Below are 23758 nucleotides of genomic sequence, written 5' to 3' on the forward strand. Positions count from 1 at the left end.
CAAGTTCCCCCAACAAGTCATTAAACATTCTCTGGGTTTTGTCAACAGCCTGGTAAACATCCAGAGAAAGAATCAAAATAAGATTGTTTATTTAACATTCTTCAGCTCCAACTGCTGATTAGGGTAAATAGTTTGGATAAAACTCCTATATGATCCAAAAATCACAAAAAGAAAACATTAGCTATTGGGCAAGTTTAGAATGAGTTAGAAATTCTTTAAACAGCACAGACATTTTTACACACTTTGATATTTTCTTCATCTTCTACTCATCTTGTGAAGGCAATGTCAGAGCTAAACATGAATGTTGAACAACCACTGAGAAAGCTCCTTGGAATCTAAGTGAAAATGCAGAGAGTGATTTCCAGAACAAGCTATAGGCTGGAACACCTAAAACTCAGTGCTGCTCTTTAAGTAACTGAAAGAAGTTGAGTCAAAATAGCACTTTCCAAGGGCTGCCTTTTCAGACTTTGGGCAAAATTTGTACTGATTCTACTTATCTCCAGAGAACCCAATAATTTAGCCAAAAGAGAAAAAATGTTTCTAATCATCAGGAAGACTTTTAGGTTTATAGGAGATCAGTCAATAATATGATGCCTCATTTTATATAGCTGTGCAAGCTTTTTAAAGAAAAGATCTATCATAATCCTGAATAAAGATCTAGTGAAATATGCTGCTAATATATTTTTTAAAATGTTATTTTCTTCTTATGACCTCTAATCCAGATTTCGGTACATTAATTGTGGTTCAATAAGTGCGATATTTAGCAGATCAATTTTTTTTTTTTTTTTTTTTTTGAGACAAAGTCTCACTCTGTCGCCCAGGCTGGGGTGCAGTGGTGTGATCTTGGCTCACTGCAATCTCTGCCTCCCAGGCTGAGGCAATTCTAATGGTTCAGCCCCTCAAGTAGCTGGGACTACAGGTGTGTGCCACTGCACCCAGCTAATTTTTGTATTTTCATTTTAGTAGAGACAAAGTTTTCCATACTGGCCAGGCTGGTCTAAACTCCTGGCCTCAAGTGATTTGCCAGCCTTGACCTCCCAATAGATCATTTTTTAACATGAACTTTAACATAAATTTAAGATTCTGAACAGGCCACAAAATTTCCTCTACCAGCCTTGCTCTTTTTATCTGTCCTGCTCCAAATTAACTAATATAGTTACAAGGGCCATAGGATAACACTCACGCCGATGCATTCATGTCTTTCCTTAGAAAGTTCTCTTTTCCTTTTTCAAGGCTGATTATAATCCTTAGAATGACTTCAAATGACACCATGAAATATTATTTTACTCGAAATAATGATTGAAAGACAAACTATCATTCTGCAGATTGGATATTGGACAGTTCCTCAAAAATGAATAAAATGAGCCTGGCACTTTGAGAAACGCAAGTGACAATAATTGTGATAAAATTTGAGTTGTCAAAAGAAAATGAAAATTTTGGAAAATGTTTATCTACCACCATGAGTTTGGTAGTTTCCTGATACTTAAAAATATGACTTTTCAATAATGTATATCAACCTTTGGAGATCTACATAAGCCAATAATCTATTATTTTACAAATGAGTAATGTATTAAGTTACAAAATCATATATGAGAAAAAAGCCATCTAAAGTATAAGATAAACCAGTAGATTTTGCTCTAGAGGGTAAGAAAAGTTTGTTGATATAATTTCGGATTCTTACATTCCAACTAACTTGAAAGAAAATACTACTTGTCAGGTGTTAATTTAATAACAAAGAAGAGTTATCTGCAATTATTTCCATTCTCCTCCTCTTTTCAATTATGTATCTGTGTAAAAGGAGATTTTCTTCATATACTTCAAGAAGAAAAAAATATATTGCTACAGAGTAATTCCAGGAAAAATATAAGAACCCAACTGTCTTTGATTAAGATATCAAAGAGATTTCCAAAAATGTAAAATAATACCATTCTTCTGGCCAAATTTTTGAATATATTGGTTATTTTTCAAAATGACTAATATTAAGGACAATTTAAAGTTGCAAGTATAAATTTATCCATGAAAAATATTTCCAAGGAAATGCAACTTTATAAACTCTAGCTCATTTTATTTTTTAATTTTTATAAAATTTGGTTCCATTTATTTTTTGAATCCAAGCAAGTTATTTGCCTAAAGAAAAAATATATCTAATCTCATTTAAATTGAAGGATTTCTTAATGATTTTACATTTGATGCAAATCCTTTTAATCGCTTTCTTCCCACCTAAATTTGGTGAAAGGAGGATAATTTGAGATGGGGTTGTGCAGGTGCTATGAATCTCAGTGGAGCAAGGGAGTATTAACTTCTCAACCTTGATCTCAGATCACTTCGTTTACCGTATATGGAGTAATTTGTCATCTGGTTCTCTACCTTGCTGGTACTCAGGGATTCCTCAGTGTTGCCCAATGGGTACTGGAGAACAAGTTAAGTAACCTTATGTGAGAAGAGGGATGAAAAGCATATTGATTAGAAATTTGAAATACTATCATTACCATGTTGATAAATATAGAGAGAGCTGGGTACAATGGCTAGCACCTGTAGTCCCAGTTACTCAGGAGGCTGAGGTGGGAAGATGGCTTGAGCCCAGGAGTTCAAGGCCAAGGTGGGCAATACAGTGAGACCTTGTCTTAAAATATATATACATATTTCATCTTTTCTTGTTTTCTTGTTACATCTGCTTTATAAATAATATATTGGGGACATTTTTTCTTATTATTACATATTCCTCTAAATTATAATTTATAAATGTTGCATCATATTTTATCCTGACATACTTGATCTAAGAAATTTCATTTACATATTTCCATGTCATCATTATTATAAACAATTAGCTTAAGTGAACATCTGTTCAACTCTTCACCCAAATCTTTGTATTCATTCATGATTATTTCATTAAGACAAATTCCTAGCAAAAAATTATTGGGTCAAAAGCTCTATATATTATTACAGATCTGGGGGATTTTTCAAGATTATTCTCTAGAACAGATGTACAATTTAGAATTCACCAAGAACTGTATAAATATACCTAACTTAGTAGGAGTGAACATTATTTCAGATATGAAATGGCCGTTTCAATATTTTTGTGAACATTCTATTTATATTTATTGTCCATTTTATTGTTTGTATGTTAGGCCTTTTTCTTATTGATTTAATTATTTGTACTATAATTCTTTGAGTGATCTTAATGATGCCAGCCTATTCTTTCTTTTGGTTGTTTTACTTGTCCATTCTTTTATTTTTAAACCGTATCTATCATTCTTTTATGAGTATATTTTTTAAAAAGCAAATGGGCCTGGTGCAGTGGCTGATGCCTATAATCCCAGCACTTTGAGAGACCAGGTGTGAGGATCGCCTGTGCCCAGGGGTTCATGACCACTGGAGCAATACAATGAGACAGCGTCTCTACAGAAAAAAATAAATAAAACAATTAACCACATGTGGTGGTTGTGCATGCCTGTAGTCCCAGCTACTCCAGAAGCTGAGGCAGGAAGCTCACTTGAGCCCAGGAGTTTGAGGCTGCAGTGAGCTACGATCACACATCTGCACTCCAGCCTTAGCAACAGAGTGAGACACTGTCTCTAAAAAAATAAATAAATAATACGTAAAATAAAAAATGCTAGATTTGTATGTTTTGTCAAATTTATATAGAGAAATTTAACATATTCATATATTTTATTTTATTTTATTTTTTTATTTATTTTGAGATGGAGTCGCGCTCTGTCACCCAGGCTGGAGTGCAGTGGTGGGAACTCGGCTCACTGCAAGCTCTGCCTCCCGGGTTCACGCCATTCTCCTGCCTCAGCCTCCCGAGTAGCTGGTACTAGAGCTGCCCACCACCACGCCTGGCTAATTTTTTGTATTTTTAGTAGAGACGGGGTTTCACCGTGTTAGCCAGGATGGTCTGGATCTCCTGACCTCGTGATCCACCCGCCTTGGCCTCCCAGAGTGCTGGGATTACAGGCGTGAGCCACCGCGCCCGGCCCATAAATTTAGTTTCAACGCTGTCATCCTCATTGCTTTCTCGGTTTTTGTTTGTTGTGCTTTTCAGTGTGCTTTTTCTTCTTCTACCTTTTGCTTTTAGATCATGTTTTCCTCGCAATTTTTGTTAGTAATTTGGATACTTTGCATTCTTCTTATAAAAGTTGTCATTACTTGGCCGGGCGCGGTGGCTCACGCCTGTAATCCCAGCACTTTGGGAGGCTGAGACGGGTGGATCACGAGGTCAGGAAATCGAGACCACGGTGAAACCCCGTCTCTACTAAAAATACAAAAAATTAGCCAGGGGCAGTGGCGGGTGCCTGTAGTCCCAGCTACTCCGGAGGCTGAGGCAGGAGAATGGCGTGAACCCGGGAGGCAGAGCTTGCAGTGAGCCGAGATTGCGCCACTGCACTCCAGGCTGGGCGGCAGAGCGAGACTCCTTATAAAAAAAAAAAAAAAAAAAAAAAAAAAAAGTTGTCATTACTTTTTAGTTATTAAATACATCGTAACAACAGCAAAAAAAAAAAAAAATTACTTAGCATCTGTTTTGTAATTAGAATAATATCACTTGAATTATTTCTGTGTCTCATTACTGATCCAGGGGTTGAATTCTACAGGGGAAGAACTCTTTGGGTGAGTTTTTTGTGACAATTTTTGTTATTTTAATAGGATAATTTAACATACTCAAAATAAAAACAGCTCAATGAAGCTCCATGTACACATTATGCAGATTCAAGTAAGGCTTTGCTACAGCTGTGTCATTTATTATCTTTGCCTAAATTATATTTAAACCAATGTTTCTTCTAATTACCAATGTCAGTCATGAAAAATAATCTATGTAATATCTCTTGTAAAAATAACTCCAGCTCGTTTTCTTCCTATTTTTCTGTTTTTGTTGACATGTGCCTTATTAATTTTTAAACTATTTATACGATGTGGTAAGAATCTTTTGAATACATATATTATTGTATATCCTCTGAAGTCAATTATTTAGACTTAATTGTATGTCTACTGGTTTCGTAATACACCACAGTTTCTTTCATGCCATTATTTTCCAGACTCTTGAAATTTTGCGTTATTCTCCAATCTACTCTAGCATGTATTTGAGTCATCCTTACCAGGGAAGTTTGTGGGTGACATCCTTTCTAAGCCCTTGCATGCCTGATAATGTCAATCCGTTCCTCTCGCACATAAGTATATTTGGCTGGTCATAGAATTTTGCCGCTCACTTTTAACATGACTCCACTGTTTTCTGGCAGTTAAAATGCCTATATGAGAAAATCAAAACATTTCAATTTATTATCCGTGGCTGGGCACAGTATAATCTTTAAATAGTCTTTCTTGTTCCAGCTCCCAAGTCTTCTGAACACAGTTTTTTGTTCAAATGAGATTGTTCCCTCATTTTTTCCCAAATAAGCCATGTTTAATTGTACTTGCACACTTTCCTTCATGGTATATCATTGGTCTGGAATGCTTTCTATGTTATAGGCAAATTATCTCTACTATTTTATTCCTAGCTCAAGAATTACTTTTTTCACTGAGCCATCTAAAGTTATCCCAGTTTACACAGTATTTTCTTTCTTGTGACACTCAGGTTAGTAGTTAATTATATGATGTTGCATATTTTTTTCATACATTGAATAAGGAGTTGTCTCATCTCTTCTACTTAGATAATACCTTAAGGTAAGTGGCAGTTAGCAGTAACAGTTTTTGATCTGCATTTTACCTTCAACATTGTATACACGGTAGCTTTCAATAAGTACCTGCTCAATAAATAAATGTGTGAATAAACAGAGAAAAAAAAAAACAAAGAGGCCTAAAAATTGGTTTTCACTTTAAGGCACTTTATACATTCTTGGAAAAAAGTCTAAATTGCTCATTGAAAAATTCAGTTGAGTTAAACAGAGCCGGGAACGGTGGCTCACGCCCATAATCCCAGCATTTTGGGAGCCCAGGGAGCGTGGATCACCTGAGGTTCAGGAGTTCAAGACCAGCCTGGCCAACATGGTGAAACCCTGACTGTATTAAAAATACAAAAATTAGCCGAGCATGGTGGCGTATGCCTGTAATCCCATGGAGACTGAGACAGGAGAATCGCTTGAACCCAGGAGGCAGAGGTTGCAGTGAGCTGAGATTGCGCCACTGCACTCCAGCCTGGGCCACAGAGTGAGACTCCCTCTCAAAAAAAAAAAGTCCTAATTATTATAAATGGAAATTATACCATGTTCACAGGGTACCTGAAGTGAACCTCAAGGTATCCTTTGTAGGAAGAGAAGATAATTGCCTCATTATGCAGGCAGAATGGTGAAATGAGCTTTGAAGTGAGGTCACTTTGAGTTCAACTCTCAGCTCTGAGTTCTGCGGCTTTTTAATGATACCTTCTTGGACAAGTTTCTAATCCCACTTTGTCCTGTTCCTTCATCCATAAAATGGGAATATTAATGGCCTATGAATGATATGTCAGACTAAACGTTTAACATATCTCTGGAAGCACAGTGTCTAGTAGAGCAGAGAATAATAATCACATCTAGCAAACGTATCTTTAACCCCTTAAAATGTGTTCATTCATCTGTCGCAGCTTGATGAGTTGGGTAGTATTATTACTTCAATTAAAGATGATGAAACCGACAGATAAAATAAGTAATTTTCCAAAGCTAGATAGTTAAAAAACAAACAAACAAACAAACAAACAAACAAACAGATAAGTAGCAGAACCAAACAATTGGTTTTGTGTACGTCTAGAGCACACATTCCTGGCCATGAGGCTATCCTGCTACCCAGAGCCACAGGTATTCTTGGCCTACTCTTATTCATCTTGACTGGCACTGGCAGTCAGACCTTGTGGGAGTTACCCGTCCTCTTGTGGAGTTGGTGTAAGCCTGTTGGGATGTTAATGGGAAATGATAATCCTCCATTTCCCTTGAGGTATGAACAGGAGACAGGAAGGATTTAAGAAAATAGATCACTTTACAGAAAGTCACAAAATCTCTTTTCTGGAGATTTTCAACAATATTATTTGAAATGGTTTAGGAATTTCTGAATGAATGTTACAAATTCTCATGGTGCCCTTTGAGGCCTATATTACAAAATTTGATTTTTTAATTCATTGATGTATGATTCAGATGTGTTTCCCTTCATGCAGAAAATGAAATAGCTGGTATCCTAAGTGGGAAAGAACCCAGAATTTCTAAATTAGGCTTCTATTTATATTCATATATTTTGAAAAAGTTTTTAAAATTTTGTTCTATAGGCATTTAAATGAGACTATGCCTTTTATAGTTAATGAGGGGGCTGTGCTGGAACAAAGTTTGAAATATCTCATTTTTAAAGCCCTTTCTGTGACTTTAACACATTCTGCAAATTTTGGTTAAAGTAATTAAATGTCTATCCTAACACTCATAGCATAGACATATTGAGAGATATTGAAGCATGACAGGGAAAAAAAAGGAAAGAAAGTGACAGGTCAGCAAAGGAGGAACAACTTACTAGGCTTGAGGCACTGCTCAGTATGTATTATCTGATCCCCAGTATCCACACTGGAATATGATGACAACTCTATAAAGGCAGCTCCCAGGATCAGACTTGGGTGTGGGTGGAGTGAACATGAATAAGTGTGTGAAAGTTTTTTCCTGGCTGGACAGACATTTTGCCATTTTGCCAAAGCCATGTTCTGTGTCGAAAAGATGAACTCCCTGTTCCTGATGCCGTCACATACACCAGGAAGAAGTAGGAACACCCTGGAGCCAACGCTTTTGCAAAACCAGACAAACTCTTGGAAAAATGCCTCTAAATCCTGAGTTCATCCTTGTGTATAAAATCATTCTTCTGGGGTTTTGTATCAAGTTATTTAAATATCCTGAAACTGAGATAGGGAGATAGCACATTATAAAAATAGAAGGGGACTGGCCTTAAATGCTCATGTGGATCTAGTCTTGTGATGCTGTCATAAAATCAGTGACATGCAGTCATGCAAGAAGATGAGCCATCAAACTTCCTTAGCACAAAGAAAAATATCACAGTTTTCCCTTAAGAGGCCACCCCTACATCTCATCACCTTACAGTAATTAAATGTCTCTTTACAGAAAGTAAATGTTGATGACGACAGGTATGGGATATGCAAGAGAGAAAGAAAATGAAAACAATATTGCTCAAGTAGTTTAGCATCAGACATATCGAACATTCTCAACGAGTATCTTCCCCTTTACAAAAATCAGTTTTACAAAAATCTTAGTTCCTTTCCCTTTATAAAAATCCTCTCAATAGCCCTTAAATGTTATCACGCCCATTTTTCAGACACTGAGGCCTAACTACTTATAAATGATGAAGATGGACTTGATCTGTTTGACCACAACCCCACATATGAGCTTTCCACAACATCAGGATGATTCCTCAGATTGTACTAGCTTTTCCAGAACGAAAGCAAAAAGCCCTTTTTCCTGCTTTTAATTGGTGTAGTTTCTTATTGAGATATCTGATTTAATGGCTATACGTTCCTCTCACAAGGCATTACAAAGTAGCACTTAAAAGTTTGGGCCTCTGGAGTTAGAGCTGGAATCCAAGATCTGCTAACTCCTACTGGAAGTTACTTTAAACATCTCATGCTAGGAACAGTAAGAAGACATTAAGAAGTAATGAAATCTAAAAAAGTATGGAGTTCAGTTAATAATAATATATTAATATTGGTTTCTTATTTGTAACCATACTAATGTAAGGTGTTAATAATAATGTTACCTTGGATATGTGGCATATGTGAATTCTCTGTACTGTCTTTGCATTTTTCTGTAAATTTAAAATTGCTCTAAAAAATTTACCTAAAAAAACAAAAATAAAACTCTGTGTTTCAGTGCTCTCACAGTTTTCTTGTTAAAACTGAATGAATTAATAGCTATTGAGTACTTAGTTTCTGATAAATGTAAAATGTGCAATAATTGTTAGCTATTTTTAAAGTATTAGCTATTTTGGAGGATGTTTGGAAAGAGGAGAGGGTTTGAGAAAGAAAGAAACTCTCATTTATTGGGAACGTACTCCAAGTGGCAATGGATTAGTAGTCAAACTAGAGTCCCTGCCTTCCTATGCACCAAAGGTTTGTGCAGCGAAAGTCTTACCAGGAATGTGCTTTTTAAGGTTAACAAGTATCCTTAGTTCTTCTAGGGAAAGTTTATCTGCCTGCTTCTCTCCAACCTGTCCCAAGTTACAAAGAAGGGTAAGGTGAGATTGAGGAGAAACACAAGAGGAATTAAACTAAGCCCGGAAGAGAGGTAGACGAATCACGCATACACACATAAGTTAAAGATGTTTTGCTTAGACTCAATGTGACCCTGGTTGCTGCACTATGAAGCATGTTGGAAACTCAATATTCTGTTGCCTAAGACTCTCAGTCACCAGTTGCCAATCACCAAATTCCCTCATCCCTCAATATTTGCCTCTCTTGCCTTTGGTTGCAATTTTCTTACATAGGATGAAAAATTCAGTGTAGTGCCAAAGAAAGAAAGCATATGTGAAAAGATAGCACGTTCATTAGGAAATGAAACTAGGTGTCAGATGAAAAGAATTAACGACTGAAATGAAGACCTATGAATCATCTTGGGAAAGCTTCCATTTGGATGACCTCCACACATTGGGGAAATGTCCTCCATCCCTCTCTTAACTCCATGTTTGGTTCATTTTCTGATGTACTATTGGATCAAAAAACAATGATCTACTAACTTCAGAAGATTTTCCAATAGCTGAAATTGTATATCGATCCCTTCCAAACTTGAAAGTGCATGCAAACCTCCCTAGAGAGTCTTGTTAAAAGGCGCATTTTAAATTCGATGATTCTGTCATGTGGCCTGAGTTTCTGCATTTCTAACAAGCTCCCAGACTTGTGAACCACACATTGTTAAGTCAGGTTACAAAGAGTTACCTTAACATGCACTACATTGTCTGCACATGAAGACCTTAATGTCATCTGGTGAGTTTAAACTCAATATGGATGAGCAGTCCTATCTATTTTTAGGTAAATAAACTCCTAAATTTTGAAATTCTAAAGATACAATATAACTTTACATTTTTTTAAATAGAAATATTCACTTAGCTCAACAATTCTCAACCCTGGCAGCACCACAGAACTCTTGAAAACTGCCATACCTCATCTACAGAGATTTGATGCAATTGATCTGGTGCAGACCTGAGAATCAGTATTTTTTAAAGCTTGCCATATAATACTATCATGCAACCAAGACTGAGAACCACTATAGAAGAAAGATGAGATTAATGAATGTCTTTCCAGTCTGGTTTATTCATTGATTAGCTTCCTTATGACACCCAAGTAAAACATTAAATAAGTCACCAATGGCCTCTAGAATTCAGAGATCAAATATACAGTGATTGTATATTTCTGTATACAGAATGTATATTCTGTATAAATACATTTCTTATCCTTTTCTTAGAGATTCACAATACATATGTTCAAGCTATATATATATAGATTATCAGGATTTCTGTTGAATATGAGAGGAAAGTCAGAACTCTGGAGCTCTGTCATCCAGCTAATTGAAGATGGACTTTGGGCAGACATTTGTGTAGATATTACACATCTGTGTAGTGTGTCTAAAGTCAGCCCTATCCAAAACCAATTGATCTCTAGAGATGACTGTGAGAATAACACCAGTGACAGAGAGTCTCTCTGGCCTAATTAAGAACATGGATATCAAGTTAGTATCAAGGAAGTACACTCTAATAACACATTAATTGTAAGATCTTTAAACAGGGCTATCCTAGCCCTTGTTCCTCCTGCTGCTTATCTGAGAGGAGAAGAAAATTTAAAAGGTGTTTCAAACAGTAGGGAAAAGGCCTTGCCTTCCAAAGGAAATGTGGTATCTTCTGTGCTCAGCATAGGATCCTGAATACAATCGGGACCAGCTGCTGGCCAAATTCTCCTTCACTCCACCCTTGGAACCAGGCCAGAGCTGGGCTTCAAAGTATATTTCAGTGAAAGTTCATTTCAGCTTCATCAACAAACATGAGTGCAGCCAAGTAATGCTGAATTACCCTTATGTAAACAATGTTTATCTGTTGTTTCCCTTTGAAAATAACTATTGTGTTATTTGAATAAGCCAATAAAACATTGTTTTCCTTTGTGATTCCTATGTTTTATTTTTCCTACAAATTCCACCCATAAAACCTACTTTTAAAGGTTCCCAAAATTTAAAAACATTTAGTATTTTGCTCATGAATTAGAGTACAAACACAAAGAGGGATATTCTGTATTGTTGAATATTCAAGAGTGTTATGATAAGAAATGTTACCACAAACATTTTCCCCCTCTCAAACTTCAGTTTCCTCATCTGTAGAATGGGGTGAAATCCATCTACCTGAGAGGATAATGAAGATTAAGTGAGAAAATAGTCACAGTATTTAATAGGGCTAATGATTTCTCTGTCAAGGGTTACTTACATGATGCACAACAAACTCAAATTAAGAGTATTGTGTGCTCATTTTGTGCCTGACCCAGTGGTGGGGACGGTAGCATACTGAAAAAGAAATTTGTCATGCAAGTCAGGTTAACTCAGGAAACTTCTAGAGTCTGCATCCGACTCAAAGACAGAAAGATAACCTCTCATCTCCTACTCTCAATCTCAGTGATACTCATTTTGCTTTTAATCAGTGCAAGCAGACACAAGGGTTGGTTGCATTTACATTTCCTTGATGGTCTTTACTTTTTTAGAATCAATGTTTTCCAAATGGGTTCTCATGGAGCCAAAAAACTTACTTGGAGGCGTTGGGTTGTGAGACATGAGTTCAAACAGGTGAGGCTGTGCTTCCACCACCACCAGAACAGCTTTATGCCTACTCACTTTTACTTACTGCTTTGGAATAAGGTTTCTACGGTGGAAAAGGGTTTTATAACTAACTTAAGAGTGATAACAATTGCTTTAAAGAACCACGAGCAATGAAGCACAGCCTACAACTTATATGAGTCCTCAATCATCAAAATAATAAATGTTTAAATTACCTTACATCTTCCTACAAGCTCATTTAATATTCCTTCGAAGTGGTATGTTAAGTGGCAATTCGTACGTTAAATTTCATTTCCACCTTGACTTTCTATGTGCTTTCAGATCTTTGCTTTCACTTAAAAAGTTGTTTCCTGCTGTCTCATTGAAAGGCTTAATCAATAAAAATGCTTTTGCCAAGTTGGTTAAAATCCATATATTTTAACCTAATTTTATTGGGACATGCTAACTGAGCCATCATTCTGAGCATCCAACTGTTTAAAATGCACAGAAATTAAATCAAGAACAGAAATGGCCACATGCAGATGCTTTCAAGGGCTGTACAAGGATCTCTAACATGTGCTCCAAAGTTTCCCTTAAATTGCTAAGTTTTTAAAGATATTTGCTGATCTCTGCACAGCAGCTTTTGTGTGTTGGCTGGCAGGATGACTTCAAATATAAAGAAATAGGCACTGGATAAACAAATTAAATTACAGTAACACTTCATTAAATGCAAGGATGTGAGAGTTCATTCAATAAATATGGATACAACAGACAGACCTGTTAATGGAATTGATGGGTTAAGCATGTACCTTATTAAAAGATTTGTGAATCTCAAATACTATTTCTTAAATATAAAATTCAAAATGTGCTAATGCTATGAAACAACTTTTTTAAAAACATTCAATTATTCTCTAAATTTGATTCAGACCATTGTATACATTTGGACTGATTTTTTTAAATGATCACAGGGGAACAATACTGTGTTTTTGGTCAAGTTCACCTAAGTAGGTTAGAGGGGGAGGTACAATTTATTTCTCTTGTTTGTTTTAGAAAAAGCAAAGAAGAGAAAATATTTTTATTTTTTCTTTCTTTTTCTTTTCTTTTTGTTTAAATCAGGTTCTGACTCTAGAAAGTGCTACAGGGGAGAATGGGTGAATTCTATTAATACCAATTATTTCAAGGAGTAAGCTACATTTTCCATAAGGTTATCATAAATCGACTTTTCAGTGTTTCTAAGAGACACAGAAAATTTGAAACCCCAATAGATTTCTCTTTGTTAAAGTTTGTTTTTATATGCCTGGAAATTGATGTGTGCAGGTCCATCAGGAGATATGTAAGAGGATGTTCATCTTAGCATCTTTTTTGCTGGTGAGGAATTGGAGGGAACCTGGAAACCCCTTCATCTCTTGGAGAACAAATAGGTACAATGTAAAGGATGCGCTTTATGGAGATTGTGGAGCAGGTAGATGCTGCAGATTCAATTATGCATTGCAATGTAAATTGATTTTAAAGTCATAATGGTCAATGGAAAGTACAGAACAGAATGTGATATATAATACCATGCTATGTATGTAAACTAAAAATGTGTGCATTCTAAAAGAATACATATTTTGCTAGAGTACCTATATACTAAAAAATGCATGCAATGATTGAAGAGACAGCTTATTTCAACCCCAAGCAATCAGAGGCCACTACACACAGGTGTCTAATGTTAGTCCTCAACCATATGTTGTTTAAGAAAATCAAAGACACAAAACAGACAACTCACTGCTTTATCATCCCCTTTCCCTTTTCTGATATTTACTTTAAAAAAAAAGAATTAATACTGAACATATACAGGATTCATGGAATAAAGGTCAAAGTTGGAAGTGACCTTGAAGCTAACTTAATTTAATCATCCCTCTGATATTTAAAATTTTTTATAACATTTTCTCCAGTTGCTTGTCAAGTCAACACAGGAATACTTGCATTGAAGAGGGCTCCATGGTCTTTGAAAGGAGCACACATTTTCTATGAGTGTGTGAAGATACTCCCTAACAAGGAAACGAACTGGGGCATGAATAAGTCTAACTCCCTTTGTCCAAGACATTTTTTCATAAGATCTAAAGCAGTGTTTTCTCAAAATTGAGAAAAGGACCAATGGCATCAGTGGGAAAAGGAGAAAGTTATATTTTAAATTTACATTCCTGGGCCGCATTCCAGACCTACTGAGTCTCTGCATCAAGAAACTTGGATATTTAACAAGTCACTCACCACCACTAAGTGATGATTGTGTTCATGAAAGTTAAAGAACTACTAGTTACTAAAAATATAAAAATTAGCTGGGCATGGTGGTGCATGCTTGTAATCCCACCTACTCAGGAAGCTGAGGCAGGAGGATCACTTGAAACGAGGAGGCGGAGCTTGCAGTGAACTGAGATCACACCACTGCACTCTGGCTTGGCGACAGAGCAAGACTCTGTCGCAAAAAAAAAAAAAAAAAAAAAAAATTAAGGTGTTCTGGTGGTGAATTATTTTTCCTGTAATTACAGTTCTTTCTTTTCAATCACTGCTCTAAAACATTGGATACACACTGAAATTTAAATTGAAGAAACATAAATCTATTAGCTTATTTTAAGTTTAAAAGTTTTTGTTGTCGAAGAATGCCAAAAAATCAGGAATAAACTTAAAACATTATGGTTATAATTATGTACTTCCATTATAGCAATAAAACATTATTCCTTTAGTAAATTTCCTTATAGTTATCTAATTCAAAAAATTCCTTTTCCTTTCAATACTGTTGAAGAAAAAACAAAACAAACACTCACTCACTGGCAGAGTTGAGAGAAGGCATTAGGGATAAAATGTTCAAGTCTGGCACTGATGTTAATACTTGTCACATATATATGTATGTGTGTGTGTATGTGGGGGAGGGGCTGTATACACCCACACGTATATGTAGGTATTTTACAAAAAAAGGACTTTACATGAAAATTCTGAACAAGGATAACCCTCTTTTAAAATGTAAGTTTCAAAGCCAAAATTCATTGCTCTGAGCTAATGAGAGGATTACTTTCCCTGTTGGTCATTCCTTCTCACCCTTAAAATTTGAAAATTTATAATTACGCTAAGCGAAACAAAATAGGATAAAATATACTTTTTCTAACAACATCCAGTGGAAAGGGGCATTTAGTAACCAAGTCATTGTGTTTTGTAAGGCTGTTATCTTCCTCATTCATTCAGCTTTGCAATTTTTGGAATTCTGACAATGATGCTACAATCTGGGACTTGGGATTTGTAATATTTTTCTTTCTCTAAAAGTTCAAAGAAAACTACTCACAATCAACCCACACACATTGACTACACACTCACAAATACAGGTGAATGTATGTACATATACCCAAACACAGCCTGTCCTTCTGAAGATAGAAATCTGGCCCTTTGGTGCATTACAAAGAACACTAAGGACCAAACTTTTTAGGGCTGGAAAATAGCTAATGTTCTTGCCAGAGAGTTAAAGACGGAATATCCCCTTTGTCATAGCCAAATTTATGACATGGATCAAAAACTATAAAAAGCTACGTTGCATCCTGCCATTAAGGAGAATTAATATTTTCAGTGGTATGTTAACCAACATTTCTCCAGTGTCTCTCGTTAAAAGCAGATTGTTGACTTTTTATCGTGGTGTGCCAAACATTTTCATTGAAACCCTAACAAGACTTTCATCTTAGAACCATTATTTCTTAATGGACTTGGATAAGGGCAACGTAAAGGAATGGCTTTGCTTTGCAGCATTGTGGCATGTGGCAATGGCCTGTCATTAGCACATTGGGCCTTGCTGAATCATTACACATGTAGACACTTAAGGCATTTCCAGTGTGATTTGATTGTTTTCCCTGAAGCACACTTCATGTTTTATCTATTACACTTATGCAACAGAGGTTCTTTTTCCACTTTCATGTATCTTTATTATGATTCTTTCTATTCAGCTGTTCAGTAAAAACCATAATAGATGAAATCATTCACACTCACACACACACACACACACACACAGAGAACTTATTTTGCTTTTTTGTTTTTTACTGAGGATATCTATGAAATTTTTATCTGTGCTTAGGAAATCAATGCAACTTTTTAAAACCCCTGGGCTTCAACAACTTAGCAATAAACTACATGACATCAGTTGTTCAGATTCCTCAAATATATATATTTTCAAATAGCATTGTCTCCATGCAAACTGGAATCAGTTGTACTATAGCAAAAGAAGCCTGTAGTCTGGGAGACAAAAGGTGCTGTGTAAACAGCATGCCTCCTTTTTCTGGACCCTTCGATTTGGCTGAATTTGATACACCTGATGTGAAAATGATTGTGATATAGCTAGTGAGCTGATGTCGACAGGCTCTAATTTGCCCAATAGGCCTTCTTTTTCCTCAAATACATATTTAGAGTCAATGACAATTAAATCTAGAGATGGAAACTTTGGCTTTTGGCCTGGGCTCTCACTTGAATGTGTTGGCCAATATTTCTATTGAGTGTTTTATGATGTGGTTGATCAAATTGTGGGGTATGACTACAGGCCCTACCACTGATTCTGAAACTGGCAAGCTGAGAGTCACCTGAAGTTAGCTATCAGAGTCAGATAAACTGAAATTTAAGAATGCATGGAGGAAGACTGGTTATCAAAGAAATAATACTTAATTCTAGAATCTAGATTTCATGGGGTTTAATATGCCTCCCAAGAAGTTTTATGATTTGGAAACCTGCATGAACTAAATACATATCACAAAATCCCTTACTTGGAATATAAGTAAAGACATTCCATTTTTATTCCTAGGAAATAAAAGTCATCCCACTTCCTCTAAAGGTATTATTTCAGTTCAGATGCTTCTGACTGCAAGTAACAGATTTTCAAAACAAAAGTGGCTTTTAAAAAGAAAATTATCAATATGGCTCACATAAGAAATTCAGAGGTTTTCCTTTCCAGGTGGGTTAATTGAGCAACTCAAGTTTGCAGGGTCCTGGATCAGCACCTCTGCCATTTTCTTTCCCTCACAATTGCGAGGTATTTATAAAATTTATACCACCAGGGGAAAAACTATGAGAAAAACAAAATATTCAAAATGTGATTTTTTTAAAAAAATGGAGAGAACACTATTAATACTATATTTGATGTGCTAAAATAATTTTAATTATTTTCGAATTCAAACCTGCTTTCTCTCACTTGAAATTGTTGCATAACTCAAAAGCACTATTATAATTCAACCCAAATGGTACGGTACTTCAATGAGCTGGTGAAATTGATTCAGGACATTAAAGAGATGTCGGCAAAGTTATAAATCGCTACTCTAATCGGGAGTGAAGAGGTTAATTCAAGATTCCACTAAAAACAGACTGGCAGAAATGTTTCCAGGGACATGCGTATTTTTTTTTTCTTTTCTCTCTCTCTCTTTTTTTTACTCAGTAGGGGTTTGGAGAAGAGGTTTGGAAGGGAAGGAGAGGGCTGGTTCCAGGCCCCTTGCATTCCCCAGAGCCCCGTTAAGGAAGGGGGAGGGCTTCCTGCCCAGGCAGCCATCTGTAACATTCTATGAACAGCAGGAACCCGCGCTGCTCCAGTCCGTAAACCCGGGTGAGGATTCTGTCTGCATTCAAAGAAAAAACCAGAGGAGTTTTCCCTCTTATTTCTGCGTTCTATCTTTTTTTTCCCCACTATTATCTCTTGCGGGTGAGCAATGTAGTTGGGAGTCTCGGAAGTTGCTTGTATAAACAAACTATCATCTCAACGATATCAGAACAGTACTATTGAGAACTGGCCCAACTGGTACCAAAATGCCGGGCCTGCCTTCTGGAATGTGCTGGCAGCAAGCTGGGAATGTCATCATCCCCGCTAATGTCACACCGTGGAACGCTTTCTGGGATCAGTGGACGTGTGTCTGATGTTCCCTTAAGTTAACTGCTTTCTAGGCTTGACTCAATTAGAGCTGGCTTTTTGGAAAGTGGTGTCATTTAAAACCTATTTTATGAAAGTTATTTTTGTGCCTATAATTTTGGGGCTCACACGTCTGTTATTTCCTCCAGTTCTTGGCTTGCACAATATGCTGCCTATGGAAAGTAGTAAAGAGTGACAATGGAAAAAATAACAAGCACTTGTTTTTTTTACTTCCAACATCTGGAGAAAACACATTTAAGGAAATGTTAACAAATAGGTACAGGGATTGATAACATTAAAAAATATATATACTTCCTTATAGAGGGAAAAACAATCAGAATAGATAGAATCTTTTAGATCAATTTTACACAAAGAATACCAAAAAATTTAACAACAAAAATGATCTCATTCAAGAGGATTCAGTTCACATCCTTTCCTAGGGTCAACCAAATGACTAATGTCAAATCCCCAAAGCACATAGGTAAAAAAATCTTTTCTCCAAAAAGAACAAAGACATAGAATTTCAATTTCGAAAAATTTCCTATTTTCTACTTTTCAATAAAGTTTTACTGTTACATTTAACTTCCCAGCAGCACAGTAGAGAAGTAAACACATTCTCATGTAGAATATGAAACTTAAAAATAAAAAAGAAAAATTCAAGAAGCAATTCAATGCAGAGATAAATATTAGAACGAACAATGCAGCAATAGTTTTATTGGAAAAAAAAGCACAAATGTGAATGTACTCTGTTCTTACACACCGAAATAACTTAAAGACAAAATATGCTTCAAGGGAAAATAAATCATAATGAATACCTACTACTGTATTACCAAAAGAGTGGTGGATACATTTCAGCCCAGTTTTTCTACTTTCATTTACTCACATTTTTATACCTTAAAGTAAGCATTGGTAAATATTCCACACGGGCCTAAGTTTTTTCCTTTTTTAACTCAGTTTTACACTATCAGTATAGGCTAATTTATAAAGTCATTGCATCAAAATTTGAAGACACGAAGTACCAAATATAGTTTTTTTTCCTGGAATTTCTCAGTGTTCAGATGAGAAAAAAATCCAAGCCAGTATTTGGAAATAAATAAAAAATCTTGATAAAATACTTTAAGAAACATATCAAAAATTGAAAAATCAGGTTTGTAGAAAGTTTTAAAGTTTTAGAAAATAAATGGATTGTTCCCAGGTGCATGGGGATGTGGCCAGTGCTTATGGCCACGTAAGTGCTCTTGATGGAGTATGGGGGAGATACTTCCTGAGGTGACATTAATTTTCTTCTTGTATCCAGTCATCTTGGTGTCATGTTTGAGGTCAAGAATAGAGTTAACATCTCAGAAACTTCATTTCATTTTAATCTTGCAAAAGCAAAGGCAGTGCCATCAACAGGATCAAATACTTCCATATAATACCAGAAGAGCAAATTGTTAATTTACAATAACAAATAATTATTGTAAAAAGCAAGTTGCTCTCATCCACACAGCCAGCCTCTTCCTTACCTGCAGTCAAGTCACAAAGGAAACCAAATTATATTTCAACCAGTTTATTATTTTGCTGTGAGAACTTACTGTCCATGATGAGAATGGTCCAAATTCTATGACCCACATGATTTCTCCATGAGGGTACATATTCTTTCTTTAAACAACTTAATACATTGAAGAATGTTACAGTCCAGATAGGAGGGTCTGGGATCCATTTTGACTTTTTAAGGAAAATGTAAATATGTTAGATGATGTAGAATTCTAAAGCAAAAGTATCAGCAAACAATTTTATCCTTCATTGTTTACATTTTCTCAGGTGTTTTTTGTTTTACTTAATTGCTAAGTATTGACAGCAGAGTTTACTATATATATTGACTTTTTTCAATGACTGTTCAAGAGAAATGGTTATTGTGACAAACTCCAAATTAATGGAAGGAAGCCTCCATTTTGGAGGCTTGAAATTTATTACGGGATGTCTAAACTCAGTTAACCACATTAAACTGCCAATCTGGTTAATCTACAAAACTCTAGGTAAGAAAATTACCTCTATTTTTCTGGTAAGAAAATTCAACTTAGATAAGATTTTCTAGTCATTCGCCTGGTAAAGACAGAGAAGGCATTTGAATTAGACCTCTCTGACTGCTCAGTACGACCACCTGACTCTTCTCTATGTTGATTTATATTTCACTAAATAAAAATAATGCCTCCTAAATTAGAGATAAATAGAGAATAGGAACTATGGCATATGACTTACACATTCCCAGAAACTAGCACAGTGAAACAAATATCAAACACCCAGTATTTTCTGAAAGAAAGAAAGAAAAAATAAATGAATGAATGAATGGTATAAACTCAACAACATGTTCAACTGCTGCTTTGGAAAGCTGTAGGCTGAATATCAAATAAACTGACTTGTATTTCATTAAGCTGTTTCTTTTAAATTTATACTGATCATTTAAAATATATACACTTGTACTATTAAAATTCATACTCACAACTTCGGAATTTTCTTTTTATTTAGCTCTTTTTTCTTTGAATTGTCAAATGGAAGGGAAAAGGGTTTCATATCTACACAATAAAAAAATATATAATCAGAGAAAAATACATTGGTCCACACATATAAATTCCTTTTTGAACCCTATTCAACATTGCCCCCTCTCCCAATATTTGGTTTGTTACTTTAATATAATTTATAATCACCCAATTGTTCTTTTTATTCTGAAGGAGAACATAGTGATCTGTGGATGCTGGTAAATTACTTAAGTGAATCTAACATCTTTCAAGTTGAAATAACCTCTTTGATCCCAGAGATGCCTGAAAGGCCCATTCTTAGACATCATAGGAAATATTGCTGCGAAGCCTTAAGAAAATCAAGAATTATAAGAAAATTCAGGTTTAAAAAAAAAACAATATCACCAGTACCACCATAGTATGAATTATTCGTTAGCAACAAAATGTAATTTATTAACACTTAGGCATAAAGAGACAGCAGCAGCTAATTAGCATTGTTTCCTGTCCCACACTCTATGGATTCTACAAATTGATTTGTGAATTCTAGCCTCTGATCAAAGATGTATCTGTGGGCCATATGTTTATTTAGTCAGCAATCAATTAAAATATGTATTTTTAAAAAAATTTATTTAGCAAATATTATTGATCACACACTCTAGACTAGCCCTGAGTAGAAGAAATACAATAAATATGGTTGACATGGATATATTGAAATGTGTGTTTCTCTAAAGAAACAACTCTTAAATAGAAATAATTACTGTATATTATACATTTTTCTTTTAAAAGTGTATATAACTTAAATTTCCAAGATTGAATTAGAATGGCTAAAATATAGCCCTATAATTGATTGGAAAAGTTTTAACCATCATATCTTTCTATTAGAGTTTACAAAGAGTGGTGATCAAATTCATACATTTATGGTTAAATAGATCTTTCATGATTTTTGTTTTTATCCTGTTTAATAAGGTCAAGAATGATGTACTGCATACTATTATTTCTCTTATGCCTAATTTTATCTTTTGTGGCCAATTATCAACACTCAAATATTTAAGAATTCAACTCGCTGGGCGCGGTGGCTCACGCCTGTAATCCCAGCACTTTGGGAGGCCGAGGCGGGCGGATCACGAGGTCAGGCGATCAAGACCATCCTGGCTAACATGGTGAAACCCCATCTCTACTAAAAATACAAAAAAGCCGGGCGTGGTGGCGGGCGCCTGTAGTCCCAGCTACTCGGAAGGCTGAGGCAGGAGAATGGCGTGAACCCGGGAGGCGGAGCTTGCAGTGAGCTGAGATCGCGCCACTGCACTCCAGCCTGGGCAACACAGCGAGACTCCGTCTCAAAAAAAAACAAAAAAAAGAATTCAACTAAAAGAACCATTAAGGAGGTAGACATATGCAGAAAGGCTCTGAATATTGATTCAAGTCAACAAATACGCTTTTTGGCCACAGAACCCATTGTTACATGCTATTAAAAGAGTTAAGTAAAAGAAGGGGATGTGGTATGCTCCCTTCTTTTATTCAGGAGGGTGTCAATGCCAGCAACCTTCTTTAGGTGGTTTGAGACCACTTGGCTTTCAAAGGGAAACTTGAGGTGAATTAACTGAAGTAGTTAAATTTTTGCACACAAATCAAGTAGCCAGGAACTCCAAGAGAGAGACAGGTAATCATCACGGTATGTGGACGAACTCTTTTCATTACAGGAGTTCAACAGGTAACAGCAGAAGATACTTTTGATACCAGGGAAGCATAAAGCAGAGAAGGTTGAGAACCTAAGTAGCAGGATTCACCCACTTTGAGATTCACAGCATGGGCTTCTGAGCACATGTGTTTGGTAAAAGGTAGCAGCAAGTAGTTTGTGGAGGGAAAAAAAAAAGAGTGAAATTAGGTATTAATAAAAGCAGTCATTAAAAGCTTTTAAAAAGTAGAGATGCCAGGTTTTCATTTTGTAATGCTCAGTTCTGGAAAGATCTTTGTAGAAAAACAATTTCTACATTCACAGGGAACATGAAGATGGAAGGGAGATATAATTGGGTATGGTGATTTCCACTGCTGCCAACCCAGATCCATCTTATCATCTCAGCAGTGGTTTTATCCTGGCCAGACAGGAGATCAAGAAGTAGTACCGTAGAGGCAAGTAGAGAGCAAATGACAACTTCCCCCCGCAATAATAGCATTCTAATTTTTTTTTTAATTCTAAAGCAGAGGAGTTGAAACTGGAAGACTATCATCTATTGTGGTAGTGGTAGATTTCTCCAAAATATGGCACTCATATTTTATCTGTTTTAATTAATGATCAACTTAATATTTGCAATGTTTGGACTATTGCAAAATAAGTTAGACTGTACGTATATGTCACAATTTACATAATTGGTTTCACATGCAATTTGTATTTCATACATTATAACATGTGAACAAATAGTTTCTTCCCCCATGCAGGAGTATTGGATTATAACTTTGTTACCTGGAAGGCGGCAGGTGTCTTGGTTGATGGTGGTGGTAAGTTTATGATTACAATTATGGAGTAACATGGAAGAGAGACAATGTGAGTACTATGAGAAGGTAATTTTCACATTTGCCTAGTGAAAGCCAAGGGGACTACAAAATTTGTGACAAATGAAAATAGTAATATTGAATGCAGTAACTTCTGAAGATGTGAATTTAACAGTGACCACTCTGTGCTCTTTCCCACTGTTTCTTTATGTACTTACATGGTTATCTCATTTGATCCTCATACGCATTCTATATTTACTCCATTTCAGATAAGGCTGAGGCAATATGACCAAGTAGAAGTGGGGGAAATAAGGCTGGGATGGGGGCTCTAAGAGTCTGTGTAAGGCTTACCAAGCATGCTCTGGATAAACACATTCACCAACAGAGACCGAGGATGACTTCCCTGAATGTCATTGTTTTCCTAAAAGACCTTTCAGCAGGAATTGCACTCAAAAATAAATTGGGACATAGTAATTTGATGCTCCTGTATTGCTGTCTACTCATTGTCTCTCTTTTAAATAAGAACACATTGCACATCCATTTCTCAATAGCATCAATGAATACAACTATCTAATTTAAGCTTCATTCAGGAAATAAATAGCAGGTTCTAATATGGGCTCCAGAGGCGTAAATACATGTGTATACATACCAGCATGAATGTACATAAGTGCATTTGCTCTGCCCGGTCACAGCAATTACTACAAAAGCTTCAGTAACTTCATTTTGGCAACAGAATGACAGATCTGCACACCAAATGTTATCCTTAAGTGTGTTTTTCTCTTAGATCATTAGGTTTCCTTTTTTTCTGTGCTTAACAGATGTGTGGAAATTAAATGGATCTGGAGTCATTAATATTTTATGAATATGAAAAGCACTGTCCTTTGAGTAAAACCATTATCCAGTTAATTGATCTAAATAAAATATTTCCCTGCATTAAAAAGAATTTCTGTGCTCTAACTCCATTTCTTATCCTCTTTGCTTCTGGAAACATAAACAAACAAACAAACAAACAAACAAAAACTACCAGGCTGTGGAATGGAATAAATCCCTTACTTTTGCATTCTTCCTCACTTGCCTGTTAAACTCAATCATGTCCTTTAGAAACAGCAGTGAGTGTCATGAAAGTCCCC

At 35.8% G+C, this 23758-nt stretch overlaps 1 annotated feature.

Moving 5' to 3' along the window:
* Positions 10802 to 11096: a silencer, noted in NCBI's record as "tiled region #14985; HepG2 Repressive non-DNase unmatched - State 24:Quies". NCBI's record gives its function as "represses a minimal TATA promoter and a strong SV40 promoter by Sharpr-MPRA in HepG2 cells {active_cell/tissue: HepG2}" and the evidence as "EXISTENCE:reporter gene assay evidence [ECO:0000049][PMID:27701403]".

This window comes from Homo sapiens, chromosome 7 (genome assembly GCF_000001405.40).
Source record: "Homo sapiens chromosome 7, GRCh38.p14 Primary Assembly".
NCBI lineage: Eukaryota > Metazoa > Chordata > Mammalia > Primates > Hominidae > Homo > Homo sapiens.